The sequence below is a fragment of the Homo sapiens genome, chromosome 19 (assembly GCF_000001405.40).
Source record: "Homo sapiens chromosome 19, GRCh38.p14 Primary Assembly".
NCBI lineage: Eukaryota > Metazoa > Chordata > Mammalia > Primates > Hominidae > Homo > Homo sapiens.
In genome coordinates, this window is record NC_000019.10 from 30,547,812 (window position 1) to 30,568,098 (window position 20,287).

General features: G+C 48.5%; 1 protein-coding gene across 47 annotated transcripts in view, besides 3 other annotated features; it reads left to right on the forward strand.

Annotated features, from left to right (window-relative positions):
- Positions 1 to 20,287, forward strand: part of ZNF536 (zinc finger protein 536) — a 487,995-nt gene that overhangs the window by 322,220 nt on the left and 145,488 nt on the right. For 31 of the 47 annotated variants that reach the window (XM_047439770.1, XM_011527554.3, XM_047439763.1 and 28 more), the window contains one exon: positions 132 to 1,703. In XM_047439770.1, the coding sequence (XP_047295726.1) occupies positions 132 to 1,703 (1,572 nt within the window). Of the gene's footprint in view, positions 1 to 131; positions 10,249 to 20,287 lie in introns of those variants that run through there. The other 16 variants (XM_047439779.1, XM_047439781.1, XM_047439775.1 and 13 more) reach the window with 2 other exon arrangements.
- Positions 3,723 to 4,223: an enhancer, noted in NCBI's record as "H3K4me1 hESC enhancer chr19:31042441-31042941 (GRCh37/hg19 assembly coordinates)". NCBI's record gives its function as "activates a minimal SCP1, AML or CMV promoter by ChIP-STARR-seq in primed H9 embryonic stem cells {active_cell/tissue: H9 hESC(primed)}" and the evidence as "EXISTENCE:reporter gene assay evidence [ECO:0000049][PMID:30033119]".
- Positions 5,393 to 5,894: an enhancer, noted in NCBI's record as "H3K27ac hESC enhancer chr19:31044111-31044612 (GRCh37/hg19 assembly coordinates)". NCBI's record gives its function as "activates a minimal SCP1, AML or CMV promoter by ChIP-STARR-seq in naive H9 embryonic stem cells {active_cell/tissue: H9 hESC(naive)}" and the evidence as "EXISTENCE:reporter gene assay evidence [ECO:0000049][PMID:30033119]".
- Positions 16,287 to 17,038: an enhancer, noted in NCBI's record as "H3K4me1 hESC enhancer chr19:31055005-31055756 (GRCh37/hg19 assembly coordinates)". NCBI's record gives its function as "activates a minimal SCP1, AML or CMV promoter by ChIP-STARR-seq in primed H9 embryonic stem cells {active_cell/tissue: H9 hESC(primed)}" and the evidence as "EXISTENCE:reporter gene assay evidence [ECO:0000049][PMID:30033119]".

A 20,287-nucleotide genomic window follows, 5' to 3' on the forward strand; every position in this document is an offset into this window, starting at 1 on the left:
AAAACAGTTGTTCTCTAATTATTAGTTTGAGCTGCTTTGTTTCAAAGAACAAATGTTGATCCTTCCAGCCTCGTTCAGCACACCAAAATGAGATAAACGCCTCTTTTTTTTCTTATATCAAAATCTTGCAGGTGAGAAACCCTACAAGTGTCCGCACTGTGACTATGCCGGCACGCAGTCAGCATCCTTAAAATACCACTTAGAGCGACACCATCGGGAGCGGCAGAACGGGGCTGGGCCGCTGTCTGGGCAACCCCCAAATCAAGACCACAAGGATGAGATGTCAAGCAAAGCTTCTCTGTTCATCAGGCCAGACATCCTGAGGGGGGCCTTCAAGGGTCTCCCTGGAATCGACTTCAGAGGAGGCCCTGCATCTCAGCAGTGGACATCAGGGGTTCTCTCCTCTGGAGATCACTCGGGGCAGGCCACGGGCATGTCTTCGGAGGTCCCCTCAGATGCTCTGAAAGGCACTGACCTTCCTTCCAAAAGCACCCACTTCTCTGAGATCGGAAGAGCTTATCAAAGCATTGTGAGCAACGGTGTGAATTTCCAAGGGTCCTTGCAAGCTTTCATGGACAGTTTTGTCCTCAGTTCCTTGAAGAAGGAGAAGGACATGAAGGACAAAGCCCTGGCTGACCCCCCTTCCATGAAAGTCCACGGAGTGGATGGTGGTGAGGAGAAACCCAGTGGCAAGTCCTCCCAGAGGAAGTCCGAGAAATCTCAGTATGAACCCCTGGACTTGTCTGTGCGGCCAGATGCCGCCTCCCTCCCGGGCTCCTCGGTAACTGTGCAGGACAGCATTGCATGGCACGGCTGCTTGTTTTGTGCTTTCACAACGTCCTCCATGGAGCTCATGGCCCTTCATCTCCAGGCCAACCACCTGGGCAAAGCGAAACGCAAAGATAACACCATCGGGGTCACAGTCAACTGCAAAGACCAAGCCCGGGAGGCGAGTAAGATGGCCCTGCTGCCCTCGTTACAATCAAACAAAGACCTGGGCCTCTCCAATATGATCAGCTCTCTAGACTCTGCTTCTGAGAAGATGGCCCAAGGTCAGCTCAAGGAGACTCTGGGAGAGCAGAAGAGCGGTGCATGGACCGGCCACGTGGACCCTGCATTTTGTAACTTCCCATCAGACTTCTACAAGCAGTTTGGTGTTTACCCAGGCATGGTTGGCTCAGGGGCCTCCAGTTCCTGCCCCAACAAGGAGCCTGATGGAAAGGCCCACTCTGAAGAGGATGTCCCCATCCTGATCCCCGAAACCACGAGTAAGAACACTACTGATGACCTCTCTGACATTGCCTCCTCAGAGGACATGGACTCCTCCAAGGGGGAGAACAACGATGAAGAGGATGTTGAAACCGAACCGGAAATGATGACCAAGCCACTGTCTGCCCTCAGCAAAGACAGCAGCAGCGATGGCGGGGACAGCCTGCAGCCCACAGGCACCTCCCAGCCCGTCCAGGGACTGGTCTCACCTTTATCCCAAGCACCGGAGAAGCAGTGGCACAGCCAGGGTCTTCTCCAAGCCCAGGACCCCTTGGCGGGCCTGCCAAAGCCGGAGCGGGGGCCCCAGAGCCTGGACAAGCCGATGAACATGCTGTCGGTCCTCAGGGCCTACAGTTCTGATGGCTTAGCAGCCTTTAACGGACTTGCAAGTAGCACAGCAAATTCTGGATGTATCAAGAGGCCAGACTTGTGTGGTAAGTTTTAGAATCCTCTTCCTATAGTTCATTTCCCAAAACATCAGTGCTGAATTGTGCATTTAAAAAAATGAGGTAGACTTATCCATGAGCAACTTTTGAATGAAATATTTGAAAAAACCCTCAATGCTGTATCTGCAATGTAGACAATCATAAAAGTCCATTTTGTTTAGAAGTTTTAGAACTCATACTTTTGTGTTCTAATTTGCATTATAATGTACTAAAATGCCTGTACAGAAGGCATGGAAAAGGGGGTGGTCGCTCACCATGTGAACTACTCCTGTTTGCCATCTAGAACTTGAAGGGGGGAAAATCGACTTACAAAACAAAAATGAAAAGAGACATGGTAACTTGCAAATTCTTCAGTATTTTCAATTTATGCAAAAGATGCCTAAAGACAATTCCTTACTGCTTTGCTAAGCCAAATCTGCTTTCTTAAACTTTTCTTTTATTGACTTAGAGGATACTAAAATCATATCACACTAACAACAGTATGGAAATAAAGCGACCTTCTCTCCAAAGAGGGAGATGGTTTCTGGGTGTTTGTGACTCATTTTTAGACAAACCAAATGGCAGTTACTGTGACTTTGGCCTTCTGCGCTTGCCTTCTGTTTGTCTGTCTGTTCACCTGTCTGTCTGTTGCTCTAACAAGACATGTACATTGTGAAGTCCCTGAACAGTAGTGGTGTGACCCTGTGCATCTTGGATTCATGCTTGTCTGATCCTGTAGCAAACTGACACTTCTTTATCTCCTTAAAGCATATGGGTACCCCAAAGGAATTCCAGATTTCCGAACATCATTGTAAGTTTAAGGACTAGGTTTGGATCAAATGAATGTTTGGGTGGGCAGGGGGAATCAAAGTCATTGTCTTGGCACCCTGATATCTGTATTTGGAAGCCTTTCTCCGAAAAGAAGCTCCATGCATTCTTCCCTTTGAAACCAGCTCCAAATATCCTCACCAGAGACAAATGACCATGATACATTTCCAACTGTAATTTATGAATGGATTTCTGTAATTTTACTTCACCTGTGGAAGGAAGGCAGGAAGGCAGGAAGGCAGGAAGGGAGGAGGGCAGGATGGAAAGAAGGAAGGAAGGAAGGGAAGGGAAGGAAAGAAAAGGGAAGGAAGGGGGGGAAATAGAAGAGAGTATTTTTGAACCTCAACATCCTGTTGTTCGTTTAAGCACAGAGAAGAATTCAGGAAGCTAGACTCTGGGTTCATAATTTAGATTGATATATTTCTTTTATTCCTCTTCTTCCCTAATTCACTAGGAACTGAATCAAGCGGTCAGAAATATTTTTTTGAATTGTCGAAAATCACTAAATGGATTTCTGACAGCTCAAAAAAATATTGACAGTTCCTTATGCTGAATGATTCACAAGGCCCCATTAACCACTACCCCCAGATCTATTTTTAGCCACATACAATTCATTACTTTTGAAGCTGTTAAAAACAATATTTAAAAGAAGGGAAAAAAGCGTTTTATGTTAGTCCAAATTTTTTCCCCTTTTTTTTTTAAACTGGGGGAGCAATGTTGAAGGCTTTTTTTTCTTTTTTTCATTGTTGTTTTAGGTTTGTGATCGGGGTGGTTTCTTTTTTATTGTTGTTTAGAGTCTTTTTTTTTTTTAAGTCTATTTTCAGTTCTTTCAACTACCTACGTAGGACCATAGTCCCTGCCAGGAATCCATGCATCAGAAAAGATCAAAACCTGGCATGTTCATGAGCTCATTATTATTGAAATGAGCTCATATTACCCCTATTAATTTTCCCATCTTCCTATCAGTAATGAAGGAAGGCTGCCTGGCTCGAGGAAGTTTGCCCAGTGGTATCCTTTCGCACCAGGCGAGGTTGAATGGGAAGCCAACGTCAGGGAGCCTGCCGGGTCTTGAGAGCCTTTTATCTCTGGGCTGCAAGCTCCTAGGAACTTCTCACCTTTTCCCAAAACAGCAGCACACGACACGTCCCTGACATTTCCCCGCTATGTGCAAACCGTGTTGCCCAGTCCACCCTTCAGCCTTTGGGCAGCAGATCCTGGGATGTAAGTTGTGCCCCCCACCCCTCGCCTCTTTCATGGGGCTTGGGGACCCTCATGTCAGCCAAGCTTGAAGGCTTCCTGGTTGCTTCTGCAGCAGAGGGTTCAGGCCCCTTGTTCCGCCTTCCACTCCTGGGAAGATGCTGAAATTGACTCTGGCCACGAGCTGCCTATTTTTAGAGAGTGTGAGTTCTGCATTCCATTTGGCCCCATTTCTTCTGTGTCCTCTTGCTTTAGTTTGGAAGTAGGCAGGAAAAGACCCTCCCTGGCTCTTGCATTTGCTTGGGGGTGGGGCCACTGCCCTCTTGCCTCTAGGATGGGCCTGACTCTGCCAGTTCTCATCCCACTCCCCCCATATCTGGCCCACCATAATTGCAGTCCTCTTCTTATTTTCTTGCGGGCTACTGTGATATCCCAGAAGGTCCAGACATATTCATCCTTTCTAAAAGTTACAACCTAGGAGGAACACAAATCCAAATGGGCTGTTTTTTTTTTCTTAAATAGTGTAATTCACTCTCTTTTTAGCATGGCAAGAAGCACAAGTGACATTTGTAAGCTTCAAACCCCCACTAGCTTCCCTTTGCAAGGGTAGAAGTGATATTAGCACAATGAATAAAATATTTCTAATGTTTATTCCTCCTTCTCTTCTTCACTCAAAGTAGGTATGGGTTTCTAAATCCGCCTACCAGGCTGATCACTATTTCTCCTTAAGAATCTGGGCTTTGTCAGACCAAAGCATCATTCCTAGATTTCTCATCTCAGATGGATAAAGTTGAGGGCTGGTTTTGTCTGGTTAGTAGACCTAAATCCCCACTTTCATGATTATAGAAACAGGCTTATAGGAGGAGCTAATGTTCCCATGTTTCTTAAGGAAGGGCTCTGTTCTCAAGGGGTGTAAAAGTGTTTGAACAAGCATCAGAAATACCTAGTTCAAATCATATAAACTCCCCACAGATCTCAGCAGCTCCTCCAACCCTTGCTGTTGATTTGGAGAAGGTGGCATCTCACCCTATTCTGTGGGTGATACTCATATTGCAGGCTGTACTTTCAGGATCTTCCATCATTTCTGCATGCCTTCTTCCTAACTTTTAAAACTCTGGTCCTAAATTCCTTGGTGCCATAGAGCCAGGGTCCTGGCCAGTGTGCCCTGCCCATCCTAACAGCCAATGGATTCCTAACTCTGGTGCAGAAGGAGAGCCACCGAGGGGAGAAGCCGACCCAGCCAGTTGGGTGGGGAGACGCCTGTTGCATATGACAGTGTCGAGAGCTTCAGTGGGAATTTTCTAAAGCTCTTTCCACAGAGGACAGCACACGGCCTGTCAGAGACATATTACAATAATCCCAAGGAAGAGGTTAAGCCATCTTGGATTAAGCCAGAGGACAGGCATCTTTGCTTCCACAGTGGGTCAGATCCCACTAGGGGTCTGATCTCATTATAGGAAATCCCACTCCAATCAAATCCTTAGTTTCTTGAGGTGACTTCCAGTCTCCAGGCATGGGTCACATGTCTTTATTCTGTCAAAGAGCATAATGTACAAGGGTACTCCAGTGCCATCGGAGAATTTGGATATGCCCTTGGTTTTATTGGAATGTTTGACCTTGGTTTTGTAATGGGATAGACTCCACATGAGTATTTAAAGGTGGAGAGGGGAAGACCAGAGCAGTGTTTGCATCCATGGACAAAGCAAGGCAGATAAGCCCAGTCTAGTCTGAGAAATGCTAATGCACTGTTGGGTCGGCACTTGGCTGGGAAGGGGCAGGCTTCCCTGTGCACACAGCACCAAGGCTGGTCTGCACAGCACCCATGGGGCCCACTGCATGGAACGGTTAAAAAGTGTGTTTCATCTGGGAGTTTGTGGATTTGGACAGCAACCAGATCACCCTTACTCCTTGCCTTTCAAACCTAAGAGAGATGGCCAGGGTGTGGAGTTGTTGTGTGCCAGGTCTCCCAGTCAGGCTTTGCACTGTGTCCTTTGGTGGACCCAGGGGTAGGCAGGACAGAGAAGAATGAATGACAGATGAACGGGAAAGCAGGGAAAAGAGCACACTCCCCTTTGCCCCAAGGAGCTCTGCTCTGTAGTGACTGCCACTCAGGGAAGGCTGGCTGAACTGGTAGCATCTGTAAGCAGGCTGAGGGCAGGCACTGCGGCTCACACCTGTAATCCCAGCACTCTGGGAGGCTGAGGCAGGGGCGTTGCATAAGCCCAGGAGTTCAAGGCCACTGTGAGCTAGGATCATGACATTGCACTCGAGCCTGGGTGACAGAGTGAAACCCCTTCTGTAAAATAAACATGAAATAAATATCAGCAAGTTGATTGTGGGCACGAGGCCCTATGTGCAGTGGCTACCAGACCTAGTGACCCAGTGGGCCTGGGAGGAAGTGAGGGAGAATGCAAGCCCATTAACAGCAGTCATCCTAACATCCCCAGCTTATCATCCTCAGGTTATTGGGCAACTGGCTTCCCCAACCCAAATTATACCTGAGACTATGGAATAAAGGTCTTCTGGGCTTCCACATTAGTGAAATAATTGGGACCCCCCCCCCTCCCAAGAATTCGGGTCCATTGAAACCTATTCAAATTACATATTTTTATGTGTGATGAGATGAACCAGGACAACCAAAGCTGAACTCTCTTAAAATGTGACTTATCTTTTCCCTAAGCCTTATAGATTTCTTGGCATAGGCAGTCGGAGAATACCTACTTTTTTTTTTTTTTTTTTTTTTTTGGAGATGGAGTTTTGCTCTGTTGCCTGGGCTGGAGTGCAGTGTGCGATCTCGGCTCACGGCAACTTCCGTCTCCTGGGTTCAAGCGATTCTCCTGCCTGTCTCCCAAGTAGCTGGGATTACAGGTGCACGCCACCACACCTGGCTAATTTTGTATTTTTAGTAGAGACAGGGTTTCATCATGTTGGTCAGGCTGGTCTTGAACTTCTGACCTCAGGTGATCCGCCCACCTCAGCCTCCCAAAGTGCTGGGATTATAGGCATGAGCCACCGCGCCTGGCCAATACCTACCCTTTTACGAGCTACTCAGTCTAAAGCAACAGGCAGCAAATATTTTCTTAAAGGGCCAGAGAATAAAAGTGTTGGCTCACAGGCCATGGGGTGTCTGTGGCGACCACCCAACTCCGCTTTGGAAGTAGCACCACAGCTACCATAGACAATAGGAAAATGATGGCTGTGGTTGCGTTCTATTACAACTTTAGGTACTGACAGGCGATGCACTGGAATTGGCCCACAGGGTCTTATTTGGTCAACCCCTGCTCTGGTGTAAAGAGGGATGTGTTCCCGTGGTCATCCCTAGGGAATGAGTGGTGCAAACACTGGTCCTCTGTTATTCTGCTGGACAGTGAGATGGTGATGGGAGACCCCTCATCATCAGTGGCAGGGCCCCATCCATTGTCTGGTAATGCCAAAGCCAGAGATGTGAGAGAGACTTTACAGTGGTAGAGGACTTGTTGACCCAGATGGGCCGATGCCTTGTTTCTGGGAAGCCACACCTCTGTCTATGCATTAAAGACTTCCAGGAGAACACCCCAGCACAGTGCAACCCAGAGCTGCCCCCTCATAGCCAGCACACACAGAAGAGGAAGCGGGCAGTGGCTGTGTGTTGTCTCTGATGCAAGCTTGCTCTGTGAAAGCCTGTTTCCTCACTGATGGAAGGAAGCGTAGGGATGAAATAGATGATAGAGATAAAAGAGCTTGGATCAGTGCTTCTCAGTTGAGTTTGCATGACGTCGTGGAGCTCAGCATCCACGTGAAACTGTTGCAAGGAAATGATGTCAGTGTGCAAACATCTTCGGGTCACAATCGTCCCTTAAGCACGGCAGGCATCAACCTTACCTCCATCAGTGTTAGAGAGGCACGTTTCATTTCCTCACTTCTGCCGTGATGCATGGTTGATAGCTCTTTCTTGGTATGTGGAGAAGTTTGCTTTGAAGATGATTCTGGCAATTTTGTGATGACCTCCCATCCCAATGGTTACACTATTTCTGTGTCCACTCCATTCTCTTCCTGATACCAGGCAAGTGCTTGGGGGTAGGAAATGAGTCCTGCCCTGCCTCAGTCTTTGACCAAGAAACGGCAAAGGTCTGCAGTCAATTAGAGACTTGGAAGGAAGCCATGGCTGGGGTATGAAATACACAGTGAGGGCCGCATATGTGCAGACACCCTGAGTATAGGCTGTGATACACAGGCTATGGCCATTGGTACATTTTTCATCTTGTGCAAGAGTCTACAGTGTGGCCCAGAAGCCAGCAGGTTCTAATGAAGAAGGGAGGTGAAGGTAGGAAAATGGCATAGGAAGACAACCACAAAATCCCAATCTGCCGAGTGTGTGGGAGTGCAGGCTGTACCCAGCCAGCACAAGAAGGCAATTGGCTTGAGGGTGTGGGAGACCTGGGGCATCTCCACTGCAAGATCTTTTTGTCTCTGTTGCTGCCTTACTTTATTCAAAGACAAATGTGCTCTCATACCTCTTCCTTCTCTTTTTTGTGAGCTGATTCTCACATGGATTGGCCTCAGAGACTATGGATAAAGCACACCTTTGCATTCACCTCCTTTGCCCAATTGGATAATTTACAGATTAGCTATTGACCTCTATGGTCTGGCCTGCTCTCATTTGTACTGTGTGTCCGGGGCCTGACATTAGACCCCAGGAGGGAGGACCATTTGGCCTGCCTTGAAGTCCAAGGGCAGAACCTTGTGAGTTAATGCAAATCACCGCCCTGTTCTGCCCCTGCTGGCTGCCTCACAACCTGCTGCAGAGCTTTTCTGTTTGACTCTGGAGGGACAAACACAGGCGATGTCCCCTAGGATCTCTTGCAGAAATCAGCACCTGGAGTGGGCTCTCCCCAGCCCTCATCCTGAGCCCTGCTGTGTGCACTGTGTCTGATGGAGAGGCAGCCTCTCTGGATGGCAGCTCTCTCCATATTCCAAAGGCATTCTTCTCCTGTTCTCCTTCCCTCTTTTTAAATTAAATGGGAATGCCACTGACGTGATGTCGTTTGCACTGCAGGATGACAGAACTGTTGTGTGAATACCATTGTATTTGCCAAATGGTCCACTCGTCATTTCAGAACAAACAAATGGATGGTGTCTGTAAGTCGGCAAACACTGGTGACATTTAGCCTTGTTTATGTTCCTTTCCTTTTGCTGCATATTTTTGGCTCCAAAAGCTACTGGCTGAATCAACAGGGCCTCTGAATCAGGAGAGAAGTCTGGTAGCATTAATTTTAGTTGCTATGTCCATATTCTCTTCAGACTGCATGAATCCTACTGCTCAGGACCAAGTCTAGGTGAGAGGAGAGGGCAATCAACCTCTTTGGTTTCGGATGTTGTGTGCAAAGCCCAGGGTTCAAATAAGCAGTAATTATCTCCTATTACTTAGTGCTGATCAACAGCACCTCTACGTCTAATTGCCAACCTGCCCTAATCATGTTGACTATTCTTGCTTTAGCCAGAGACAGAAGGACCAAATTTTATAAATAACACTTTATTGTCATTATTCCATTAAACGATTAGGGGATGTGGCCCTGCCCTTGCTTTCAAATGCCTCTAGCCCTGATGGTTTCTGGATTATTTAATAAATCTGCACATTTTCTTGCAGGTAAGTGACACTCCCTGTCCTAGTCGGTCTATCTGGACTTGCCCTTGTCTGTTCGTGGTCCTCGGTGGTTATCTGCAGCTTGTTAATCGTGTAAAGTCAAGAGAAGAATGTATACACATATGTGTGTTGAATAATTACTATTGGCATAGGTATGTGTATACACACGGTGCACCAATCTACAGTATATATAGCAGAGAATCAGAGGCTAAAAATATTACCCCATATGTTCCAGTATTAGTCATGGATTGCAAAGGCTTAGTAACTTGAGCAGGAGAGAAAACTCCCTCAAAGTCATAAATCCTGAGTGACAACTGCTGCTGGATGACAGATCCCTTCACCTGTGGACAACCTGGCTGGGGGTGGGGGGCTGTTCCACCAGCTCACCTGAGCATGTAGAGGTGGGTCCTGCAGTGGTCTCGTGGGTATTACTGCTTGTGTCTGATTGTCCTGTATTTTGTAACACTTTAGAAGAATACAGAAAAGTGCAGTAATTCTCTTTCTCCATAGTATTTAAGCAGAAATATTGCTAGTTTAATATTGTGTCAGGTCGTCCTATTAACCAGGAGCAGATGACAGTAAAATTTCAGTGAATAGCACCTTGACATCTACAACTTAAAAATGGTGATTGAAGCAAAATATGTAAACTTGTACGGGGTGATCGTGTGCTTTGGAACAGAGTATTGTTGAAGTAATTAGAAGATATATTAAGGTGTTCCTGGTAATGAAGGCATGTAAGTTATAATAATTGTAGCTTTCTGAATAAGTGTCAAACTATATCTTTAAGTGTGCTGTATGCTGAGTTACAAGTTAGGTCATTTATGAATGGAATGTAAAATAATACTAAAAATGCTTCAATAACTTATCTTGGTATTGCTAATAAAAAAAAAAAGCTGTGAAACATTAGTGCAGTTTGGAGTCATTATGTTAATTCATTCCGCAACATCCCCCTCACCCCGACATTCTTCTCACTGTTGGAAGCCTCAACAGGACATTCAGGGAATGCCATTGACCCTGCTTCTTGGGCTGTTTGCCGGGGCAGATCATTGCATTTTTCTATCCACTCTTAGGTGGGCCCTGTGAGTAACAATTCATAAACATGCAAGTGGAAAAGGACCTTCCAATTTGGGTGGATGACTGTGGGGGGTGGGGGAGAGCCAGGCGACACGGGCCCGTTTCTCTGTACAAGTGACTTTTAGGTGTCTAGACCCCACAACCGCCCAGAGGAACTGTGGCTGGGGTGGTGGGGGTGGAGGGTACTTGGGCACGGAGTATGCCGGCCATCATGCCCCATCCCAGATGTGGAAACGCTGACACCCAGCCTCCCTTCAGCAAATCTGAACATGTTCTTTTCATCCTGCGAAGGGGTAGTTTGTAATGAAGAGACTCAGGATTCGCGGAGGTGGGAATCTTTATGTTCTGCTGACCTTTTCGGACTGTACTTGTGTTTGCTGTAACAGGCTTTTGCCTGTTGTTCCACTTTGCCTCCTGGTGGGGAGAGAGGTGTGGGAAGAACCGATTTTGCTTTTTGCTTGTGTTGCTTGGTTTTGTGGTCCGTGAGCTGGACTTGAGGGTCCTGCCATTTCAACGGTGTTTCCAAGCTTCTTTGCTTGGATGTGTTTTGTAAATTTCTAAATTCAATGACCATCCCTGAGCCCTTGTCTAACTGGTCCTTTTGGGGGACTGGGGGTAGGACACAATCTCATAGGACACAATCTCAAGCTCCAAGTCCGTTCTTCACAACCCCAAATAAATAAAGTGTCCTCTGTGTAACAAGGGAATGGAAACCCAGAAATGCTCATTGAACAACCCTGGCCTCCGCAACAGGACAATTGCATCACCCTAGCTGGTTGAAACATTTCTTCCGGTATTTCTCATAAAACCTTTTCAAGTGACTCTGACTCCAAAGACCACAGTATGGCATTAGGTTGTCTTTTATTTTGGGAAAGAGGTAAAAAGTGAGAGATTCGGAGTCTGAGAAGACACGATAAAAGCTTCAAAGAGAAAATGTCGATTGTGAAGAAGGTTGTCAGATTTCCTGGTGGTCAGTGCCCACGACTGTTGCCTGATTCCCTTCATATGAAGCTGGGAGCACATACCATGGGTTCCTTTGGAAACTGTGATGGATCCCTAAATGCCTAGCAAAGGTAAAGTGAATGACCCTAACCTCCAGGCCCCAGGTCTGTGTGGCCACATTTAGGCAGGGCCAGTTTCCACTGCCAGTGTATATAGGCCAAGCCTGTACAAGAAGTAGGGCCCCAGGAGAGGTTTTTCTTTATTTGCAATGTCCCCTGAGTCTAAGGACCTGCCCCAAGGGGAATGGGGTGCACATCGAGGGAAAAATTCCTCCAAGCCTTTTTCTCGGGGCCTCTGTCCAGGGCTGAGCACACTGTTCCTGGCGTTGCCGGTCATGTACACCCCGCTGCCCACTTCCTGCAAACCTGGGGCACCATAGCACCTGTGGGTTTTGCCAGTCCTCCTGGGATGGGGCCCAGAGGGGTATAGATGGCATGTGGGGGGCTGGGCTTTGGAGGCAGAGGGAGTGCAAAGCCAGTGAGGGAGAGGCTGCTGAAGGGAACGGATCTTCCCAGCCCTTTGCATTGACAGCCTGGAAGGCTCCCTGGAGCCGTGTATTCAGGCGTCTGCTGTTCTCTCTTCCTTTCCATGGGGGCCCAATCCCCCTAACGGGATCTCCAAGCTGGAAGACTCGGAAGCATTTCCGTTTCTAAAGCAGGGGGTATTTCCTGAGTTGCTCCCCGGTGGAAACTTCTCAAGCTTAGAGGGGGCCTTTGTGGATTCTCATTCTCCTGCTTTTATGAAGCCAGCTCCGTCCTGCTCCCCATCTTCTCATTTCAGGGCACTCACGCCGTACACTCCCCCTGCTTCCCATCCACCTCCTCCTCATCATCCCCATCCCTGGTTAACAACTTCCTTCTCAACAGTTGCGTGTTCTTGGGAATATCCCGTCTTCTGCCTGCCGGGGAGCTGGGTGGATTCAGTTCTGTGGAATGAGCCAACTTCATTTTACAGCTCTGCAAGGGGGTCAGGAATTCTGTTTCCTGTGTGTTCCTTCCCCCTAAGCCACCTTCCATCCCCAAGTGGGATTATAACAAGCCCACCATCCCCATATACCACCATCCATCCCCACATGGGAATATAACAAGCCCACCTCCCCCATAAACCATCATCCATCCCTACGTGGATATATAACAAGCCCACCTCCCCTGTAAACCACCATCCATCCCCATGTGGAAATATAACAAGCCCACCTTCCCCCAAGCCACCACCCATCCACATGTGGGATTATAACAAACCCCACCTGTTTGAATTCAGACCTGAAGCAAATGTAAACATCATCCATTGGATCTACCCTCAGCCTGAGACCTGGACCCTTCCTAACACGAACACCCTGGTCTGGATAAGAGACCACCCCCCCGCCCCATTGTATATGGAGCAGAGTTCCAAGGAGACATCTGTGACTTAAGATGAGAGAGGCCAAGGAAGGGCAGAGTGCCTTGCAGTAAGAGAGTCTTCAGATCCACTTTTCTATTTACACATGTTCGGAAGTGTGTTTGCTTTGATGAGATTGTAGATATTCTGGTTGGAGAAAAAGAATCTAAATGTTGGGAGATGATTATTCCATAAGTATAGTCACTTTTTCTCAAAGAAACTTCGCGATGATTAAATTACATCCCCAAATCGGCAGCAGTGCATTGGCAATATTGTCTCTGCGTAAGCAGATTCTGCCTCTGGAGCAAGGGATGCGCATTTTCAAGGTTAAAGTTGGGGAACTCTGCACAGCTATTTCATTAGCAAAAATAGCCATTTGTGCATCCAGACATTGGCTGGCTTCACGAGGGGTTTGTCTTTCATGTTCTTTGTGGAGTTGTCCAGACACACCCATCTAATGGTAACTCACTGCTCACAAGGTTAAGTTTTCTTTTTGAACTTCTGTTGTTGTCAAATTAACATAATATGCTCTCAATTATCCACATAAAAGGAGAAAGGCAACCAAGCGGGGAAAGCAAATTTGCAATTAATTTACCAAATTATTGCTCTTTTTATATGATGGACAAGTTGCTTTTTTCTTGAGTTGGGATTTGTCTCTACTGGGAAGAGAGCTGGGGTTGACCACGAGGACAGGCCACTCCAAGGTGTGCCCTGCACCTGGGGAAGGGCTGAAGGTGGTTTTGCTGAGGTGCACAGTGGCCCCAGTGGATAATTAGGGACTCACACTAGGATTAGCTCTTTCTTGTCAAGTAGAGGGGTCGTTAGTCCTCTCAATCCCCTAAGACTTCCTTGGTGACCTAGTTGGGTCTCCCTAGAGCAGATCCTGAGGTAAGGACCTGGATGCAGGCAGTAGATATGGGAGGTGACCCAGGAAGCATGAGTGAGGGAGCAGGGAAGGGAGACAGAGAAGGCAGGTAAATCAACAAGCACAGGTGCACTCATGAGAGGGTCAGTACTGCAGGACCATGGGGGCTCAGCCCCTTTGGGGGTCCTCTAAGGTACTACGTGGAGCTCCTCTTGGAACAGTCTCTTCAAGGATTGAAGGAGCCGGGGTATTTACACACCAGCTTTTCCTCTCCCAGCAGCTGAGGGTCCCTCCAGCCCACCTGATGGCCAACCATTCTTCCCATAGTGAGAGAAAGCCCTCAGGCAGAATGAAGCAAGAGGCCATTGGTATTGCCAGATAATCAGATAATCAGAAGGGAAGGAATGAGGAACCAACAGTATCTGCTTCAAGTGAGAACACCCTCTTGGGTACCCAGTAGAAAGTCGCAGACCTACCAGAGCCACAGATGAGAACAGATGTGCAGGTCATGGCTCCTGTGGAGAGGGAAGTGCATGGCCTCTCAGCTTAGGGGCCAGGTTACTGGAGGAAAGACTGGCGGGCTGGTCTGGGGGAGACCTTGAAGCAATCATGTTCCAAGGAGCTTAGATAACTCACGTGTCCTCTTTGGGCACCATTTTCCTCTCAGCCAAAGGAGGGAGCATTCCAGATGTCTGCTCCGGACCCTCTTAGGTCTTAAACTCTATAGTCTCCACCACCCTTTTCCAGTCCTCACTTTTCAGATGACTCCTCCGGACCCTGTCAGTCCTGGAGTCCCCATACCAGTAGGGCCCCTGGGATATGTTCTGGTTTCCCACAAGCATAAGAGCATGCAGGCTTTCTATTTGGGCAAGGCCATCTGCCATTCCAGTGCACGGGCATATGAAACTTGCCTTATCCTGAAGATATTTCTGTTAAATTAGAAGAAGACCATTGAGGATTTTCTTTTAATTGTGGAAGTCTGTTAAAATAGCAAAAGAAAAGAAAAGAAAGGAGATCAATGAAACTGGATTTTCAGCTCATGGAAATGCAAGAAAAACCTGATTATCTGACTTTTTTCTCTTTTATTTTTCAACCTGTCGAGCTCACAGTTGAGCTTGAGAAGACTGTATTTTTTATGATGATCAGGTTATCTTTGAGTGCTTTACAGATACCAGTGTGTGAATCCAGGAGTTCCCTTTTGGATAAAAGTGCCTCCTGCTTTCTTTCAATACATGTATCCATCACACTTAGAGGGTGGGAACCCAGGCACCGAGAGATACGGGCTCAGGCTCTCATCTTGCACTCACGGGGCACGGAAGCAGTTCACATTCACTTCCTTCTGTGCCTGTGACCATCCCACTTTTCCATCCTGAGAATTCCCTTGGTCACTCAAAATCACTCTGAGCTTGCAAGCCCGGGGTAGTTTGGAACAGTATGCTCTGTCTCTACATGGGAAAGCTTTTTGCTTTCAATTGGATATCTTGTCATAGGCATTTCTTAATCCAATTGCCTCAGTGTTATCACCCATCAAATGAGGCACTCGTGTATCCCTTAAGAGAATAAAGTGAATATGAAGAACTTGGAGGTTGTCGAGTCACCCTCATTTCAATTATTTTAGGCTTTCTGCAGCCATGTAGGCTCCAGGCAGAGCTTCGATGAAGACCGAGAACCCGCTAAAACCCCGCTGAGTGGCTGGAGAATCTGGGCAGGTTATTATAAATCATGGTGCCCCACCCTCATCCTTGCCAATTTGTACTCACCGCTGGAAGGTCTCTTTCTGGATGGCCCATCTGGGATTCTTCCCATCCCTGGGGTGAACACATCTGGAGGTCTGTTGGGGAACCTATATGATAATTCAACAAGCCCATTCTTGCGATGGACAGACACACCCCCATTGGCTCCAACTGAGCTGTTTTCACTGTTTTCTAGTGGTAAAAAGTATTTACCATTAGGAAATTTTTAAAAATCATCTCTCGTGGCCAATCGGTGGCCCAGATTCTTGTATCAGTGGTTTTTGGGTTTCATTAAGACTTTGGGCTCTACAACTGTCCTTTCTAAATGATACCCAGTAATTTAATTTTAAATCACAAAGGGAATGTTCTTGAAGCCTTTGAGGTAAATGCCGCTGCAAAGTGAATGATCACCTCTAATTTGCACAGGTTAAACACCTGGATGTCATGTTGGGGTGGTTTTGTGAAGTTCCCAGTTTTCTTTCGTGACAGTGGGTTTTGCAACAGGAGCTGTTGTGTGAGGTGGGTGATGGGACTGGGGTTTGCCAGGCAGGCTGACCTCACATCCCAGAAGACACAGGAGGGAGAGGTGCTGGGCGTGACGGATGCTCTAGTGGTGGGAAGAGGGATTCCTAAGGGCCCCTTGCCCAGCCTGACAACCCCTGCGGATGAGCCCAAGGACAGGCTGGGGCACACAGGCCTGGAACCTCCAGATGGACACACACAATTCCCACTATGTCAAGGTGTCTCTGGGATGGGACAGCAGGGAGGCCTAGCCCCAGGGGCCTGGGATGGGGGGACCAAGGGAGAGGGAGAGTGCCACAGAGGACCCAAGGGCTAAGGGGACCAGAAAACAAGAGGGGGTGAATGGCTGAAAGGAAGAGAAATGCATGAAGATAGAGGGAGAGAAGTGCAAATGCAGTTCAAAGAGAAGAAGGAGGAGGATTAAAGAGAACCTGGAGACCTGGGAAGATAAAATTAAATGAAAGAGTCGGGTGTGTTGGCACATGCCTGTGCTCCCAGCTACTCAGGAGGCTGAGGCAGGAGGATCACTTGAGCCCAGGAGGTGGAGGCCAGACTGGGCAACAGAGCAAGATCTAAAAAAAAGAAAAAAGGAAAGGAGAAGGTAAGAGAGAAAACAAGTAAGAAGAGAGTAGAAGAGAAATGGTGGAGGTTGCATCTGGAGGAGAGGAAAGAGTGGAAGAAATGGGTAAAGAGGAGAGAGAGAGAGAAGGCCAGCAGAAATGAAAGGATCCTGGCAGGGAACCTTTTCCGAAGCCTCCTGGGGCTGTAGGTGCCCAGGCTGATGGGATGGGCCATCCCACTGCTGGTGGTCCTGGTGGTCAGGCTGGGGAGAAGGGTGCTCAGTGGCTGTGGGTAGGGATGTTGGGGAGGCTTCGAGGGTCAGGGAGACCCCCAAGCGCAGCCCCTGGCGCTCGGGCTGGAGCTCCAGCAGTGCCTCCTCCCGCTTGCTCCACTCCCACCGCCAGTTTCAGGAGGAAATGCTGCAGCTTAATCAGAATTATTTACAAGATAATGGTCCATTGTTTGCACTGAGACAGATGTTGTCTGTGGGAACTTTGTGTTTTATGCTCTTTTCCCTGCTCTGCCTTCACTGGGTGCAGATGGGATGGAAGTAATGTGAGTTATGACTCCAAGGATTGGAAACGGGGAGATGCTCCACTCCTGCCTGGGCTCGGCGGGGCCACAGAGCTGGGCTGGCACCTGGTAGGCAGGGGTGGAGAACAGCCACTGTGGCTGCAGGGCTGTGATTAAGAAGGTCTTATTTCCTAGAGGGGCGGGTCCGTGCCATCGCCTTGTCCGGGAAGAACTCTGATTAAGATGCACTTCTGTTTGTTGCGTTGAGAGGTCACCGTTGACATCTCAAACGAGGGTGACCATCTGCTCCTCTTTTTGCCAAAAGGAAAGCTCAACCCCTCTGGGGTGGGGAATGTGTAGACCCCTTTCCTTTTTTTTTTTTTTTTAACTTATCAGAGAGCTTCTTCTTGGTCTTCTGGAGTCAGTTAGGAAGCCAAATCTGGGCTTGTGACTGCCTGCCCTGCTTCTTCAAGGGTAAGGTCAGCTGAGTGAATGACGGCTCCATCTACTTACCCGGGGAGAGAGCATGTTGCAGAGGAGGAAAGATGGGGTGATCTGGGGAGACTTGGCCTGCTACCGGACTTGTTCCGAGCCTTGCCCCGGTGGGGGCCCACCCTCCTGTGAAGCCCGCAGGTCTGCCAGGCCTTCAGCACTTCTGGACCCCAGCCACTTCTGCGTAACCAGAAACCCTCTGTCATTATCAGAACCCATTTTATGAATGAGGAAACTGAGGCCAAGAGATGCTAGATGGCTTGCCCACAGTCTTTTTTCTTTTTCTTTTTAAATTTTTGTTTTTATATCATTGCATGTGGTGAAGTTTGGACTTTTAGTGTACCCGTCACCTGAATAGTGAACGCTGTACACAACAGGTGATTTTTAAACCCTCACCCCCTCCCACATCCCCACCTTCTGTCATCTCCAATGCCTGCTGTCTGCTCTTGCTGTCATTTTCTACTCTTCCAGCGCCTCAGGTTATGACCTTCCCACTCCAGGGGGCCCCTCTGAGCCTCAGCTTGGCCAGCTGAACACCAGGAGTGAGGATAGCTGTTGCAGAGTCAGGGAGGGGAATTCCCTGAGACACACACCTCCAATGCCAAGCACCGAACCTGATAGCCCATCTCACAGATGACAGCAATCAGTGTCATCAACCGCATCACACCAGTCCTCCAAGACACAGCATTTATAACGTCAGGCTGTGACCACCAACAAACAGAAAAAAACAAAGTAATAAAATATCCCAGGTCACGCTTGGATGCTAAAATCAAGCAGTCGTGGAATAAAGAAAGTCACTTTCAGGGCAACTATGTAAAATCAGTCGTGGCCTTTGGGCAGCCTAGAGGAGAACTCAGTCAGCCACGGCTCCTAACCCTGCCCCACACCCTGAGTGTCTATGAGGGGTCACCCAGAAATCAGTTACCACCGGGACGTTTTGTTCCGTTCAAAAACCAGCCGTGTGGGGGCATCCTGGGTCTGGGGCAGATGACTGTTTCCCCAAAATATCTCCATGCCCAAGGAACAGCTCCCTTTATCCCAGCAGCAGGATCTGGTCCTCCGAACTCACCCACTAACCTTCCAAGCAAAGTTGTAAATAATAAAGACTTCCTCTGTGGCAAGTCCTGTTCTAAGCTCTGTACAGATGAGAGTACAAATTAGCTTCTTACATTTCATCCTCATGAAAACCCAAGGATGTGGATGGAGTATTTATTATTCTCATTTTAAGTATGGGGAAACTGAGGCACCGAGCAGCATCTTGTCACACCTAAGATCACTCGCATGTAAACAACGGGGCTGAGATTCAGAGCTGGACAGTGGAGGTCCCTGGGAGTGGCCTCTCCGGGCAGTGGGGGGATCCCTGCCTGTGGCCTCTCCGGACAGTGGAAGTCCCTGTATGTGGCCCCTCTGGACAGTGGAGGTCCCTGTGTGTGGCCTTTCCGGACAGTGGAGGTTCCTGGGAGTGGCCTCTCCGGGCAGTGGAGGGATCCCTGCCTGTGGCCTCTCCGGACAGTGGAGGTCCCCACATGTGGCCTCTCCGGGTAGTGGGGGTCCCTGCATGTGGCCTCTTTGGGTAGTGGAAGTCCCCGGGAGTGGCTTGTCCAGGTAGTGAGGGTCCCCGCATGTGGCCTCTCTGGGCAGTGGAGGGATCCCTGCCTGTGGCCTTTCCATGCAGTGGAGGTCCCTGTGTGTGGCCTCTCTGGGTAGTGGCGGTCCCCGCGTGTGGCCTCTCCGGGTAGTGGCGGTTCCTGGGAGTGGCTTCTCTGGGCAGTGGAGGTCCCTGGGAGTGGCCACTCAGCTGCCTCACCTTGCGGGTGCTTTTCTGTGCCTTTAATACACATTTGAGATGCGTCAAAAATAAAGAAACCAACCAAAAGTACATAACAACAGCCAGTTCCTGCCAGCCCGCCAGGCTCATGTCAGGAGAGAATGGGGCATTTCTGAGCCACGATTCTGCGATTTGGCGATCCTAACCTGAGACAGGGCCTGGGGAGCACCGTCTTGGAGCGCGTGGGCGGGGCACTGGGTAGGGACCAGGTGTTTGGGTTGTGACCAGAGTGGCTTTGAACCTGCCACGTGACCCTGAGGAGCTCTCCTCCTATCCCCTCAGTGTCCTCACCTCTCCATAAATGACAAAGTCGCAGTGATAACCCTGAGTCCTTCCATGTCACAGTCTGTGAATCAGTTCTTTTTAGGGCTATATTTATTCAGTCATTTTCCAGCCTCAGGGAAAAAAAGCAAAAATCTGTCATCTCCCTCCTTCCCCCGCAGCGAGAGGGCCCCGAGGAAACCTGACCCCCACCTTGCAATTGTTCCCTGAGGTCCAGGTCTGAGGGAGCATAGAGAGTGGGTGGCCCAGGGCTCCAGCTGCCCCTCCCTGCCCCCAACCGCGACAGCAGCGGAGGTCAGACCAGGATAATATTTATCAACCTTATTCTCATTGTGCCGGACTCTGACCAAAACCCGGCGTCACTGGAGATCCCAGATTATGTCTTTTAAGGTCCCACAGAGCCGCTTCACATGTGCCCAATTACCTCTGTCAGGCAGGGGGAAGGAGGTCTCCCTCGGTGGGTGGGATCTGAACTTGAGCTTCCAGAGGTCGATGGCTGGGATCTTAGGCCTTTGAGGCTGTCACTCCCCGATAGCCAGACCTTTTCTGTTAAAACTGTTTAAATTACAAACCAGTAATAAAAGGATCATATGTGTTTCCCACAGAACAGGTTCTTTAGGGCTATTATGATAATTAAAAACATATGGTGCCTGTACCAGTCTGAAGGAAACCGCAGATGTACAAATTAGGTATTATATA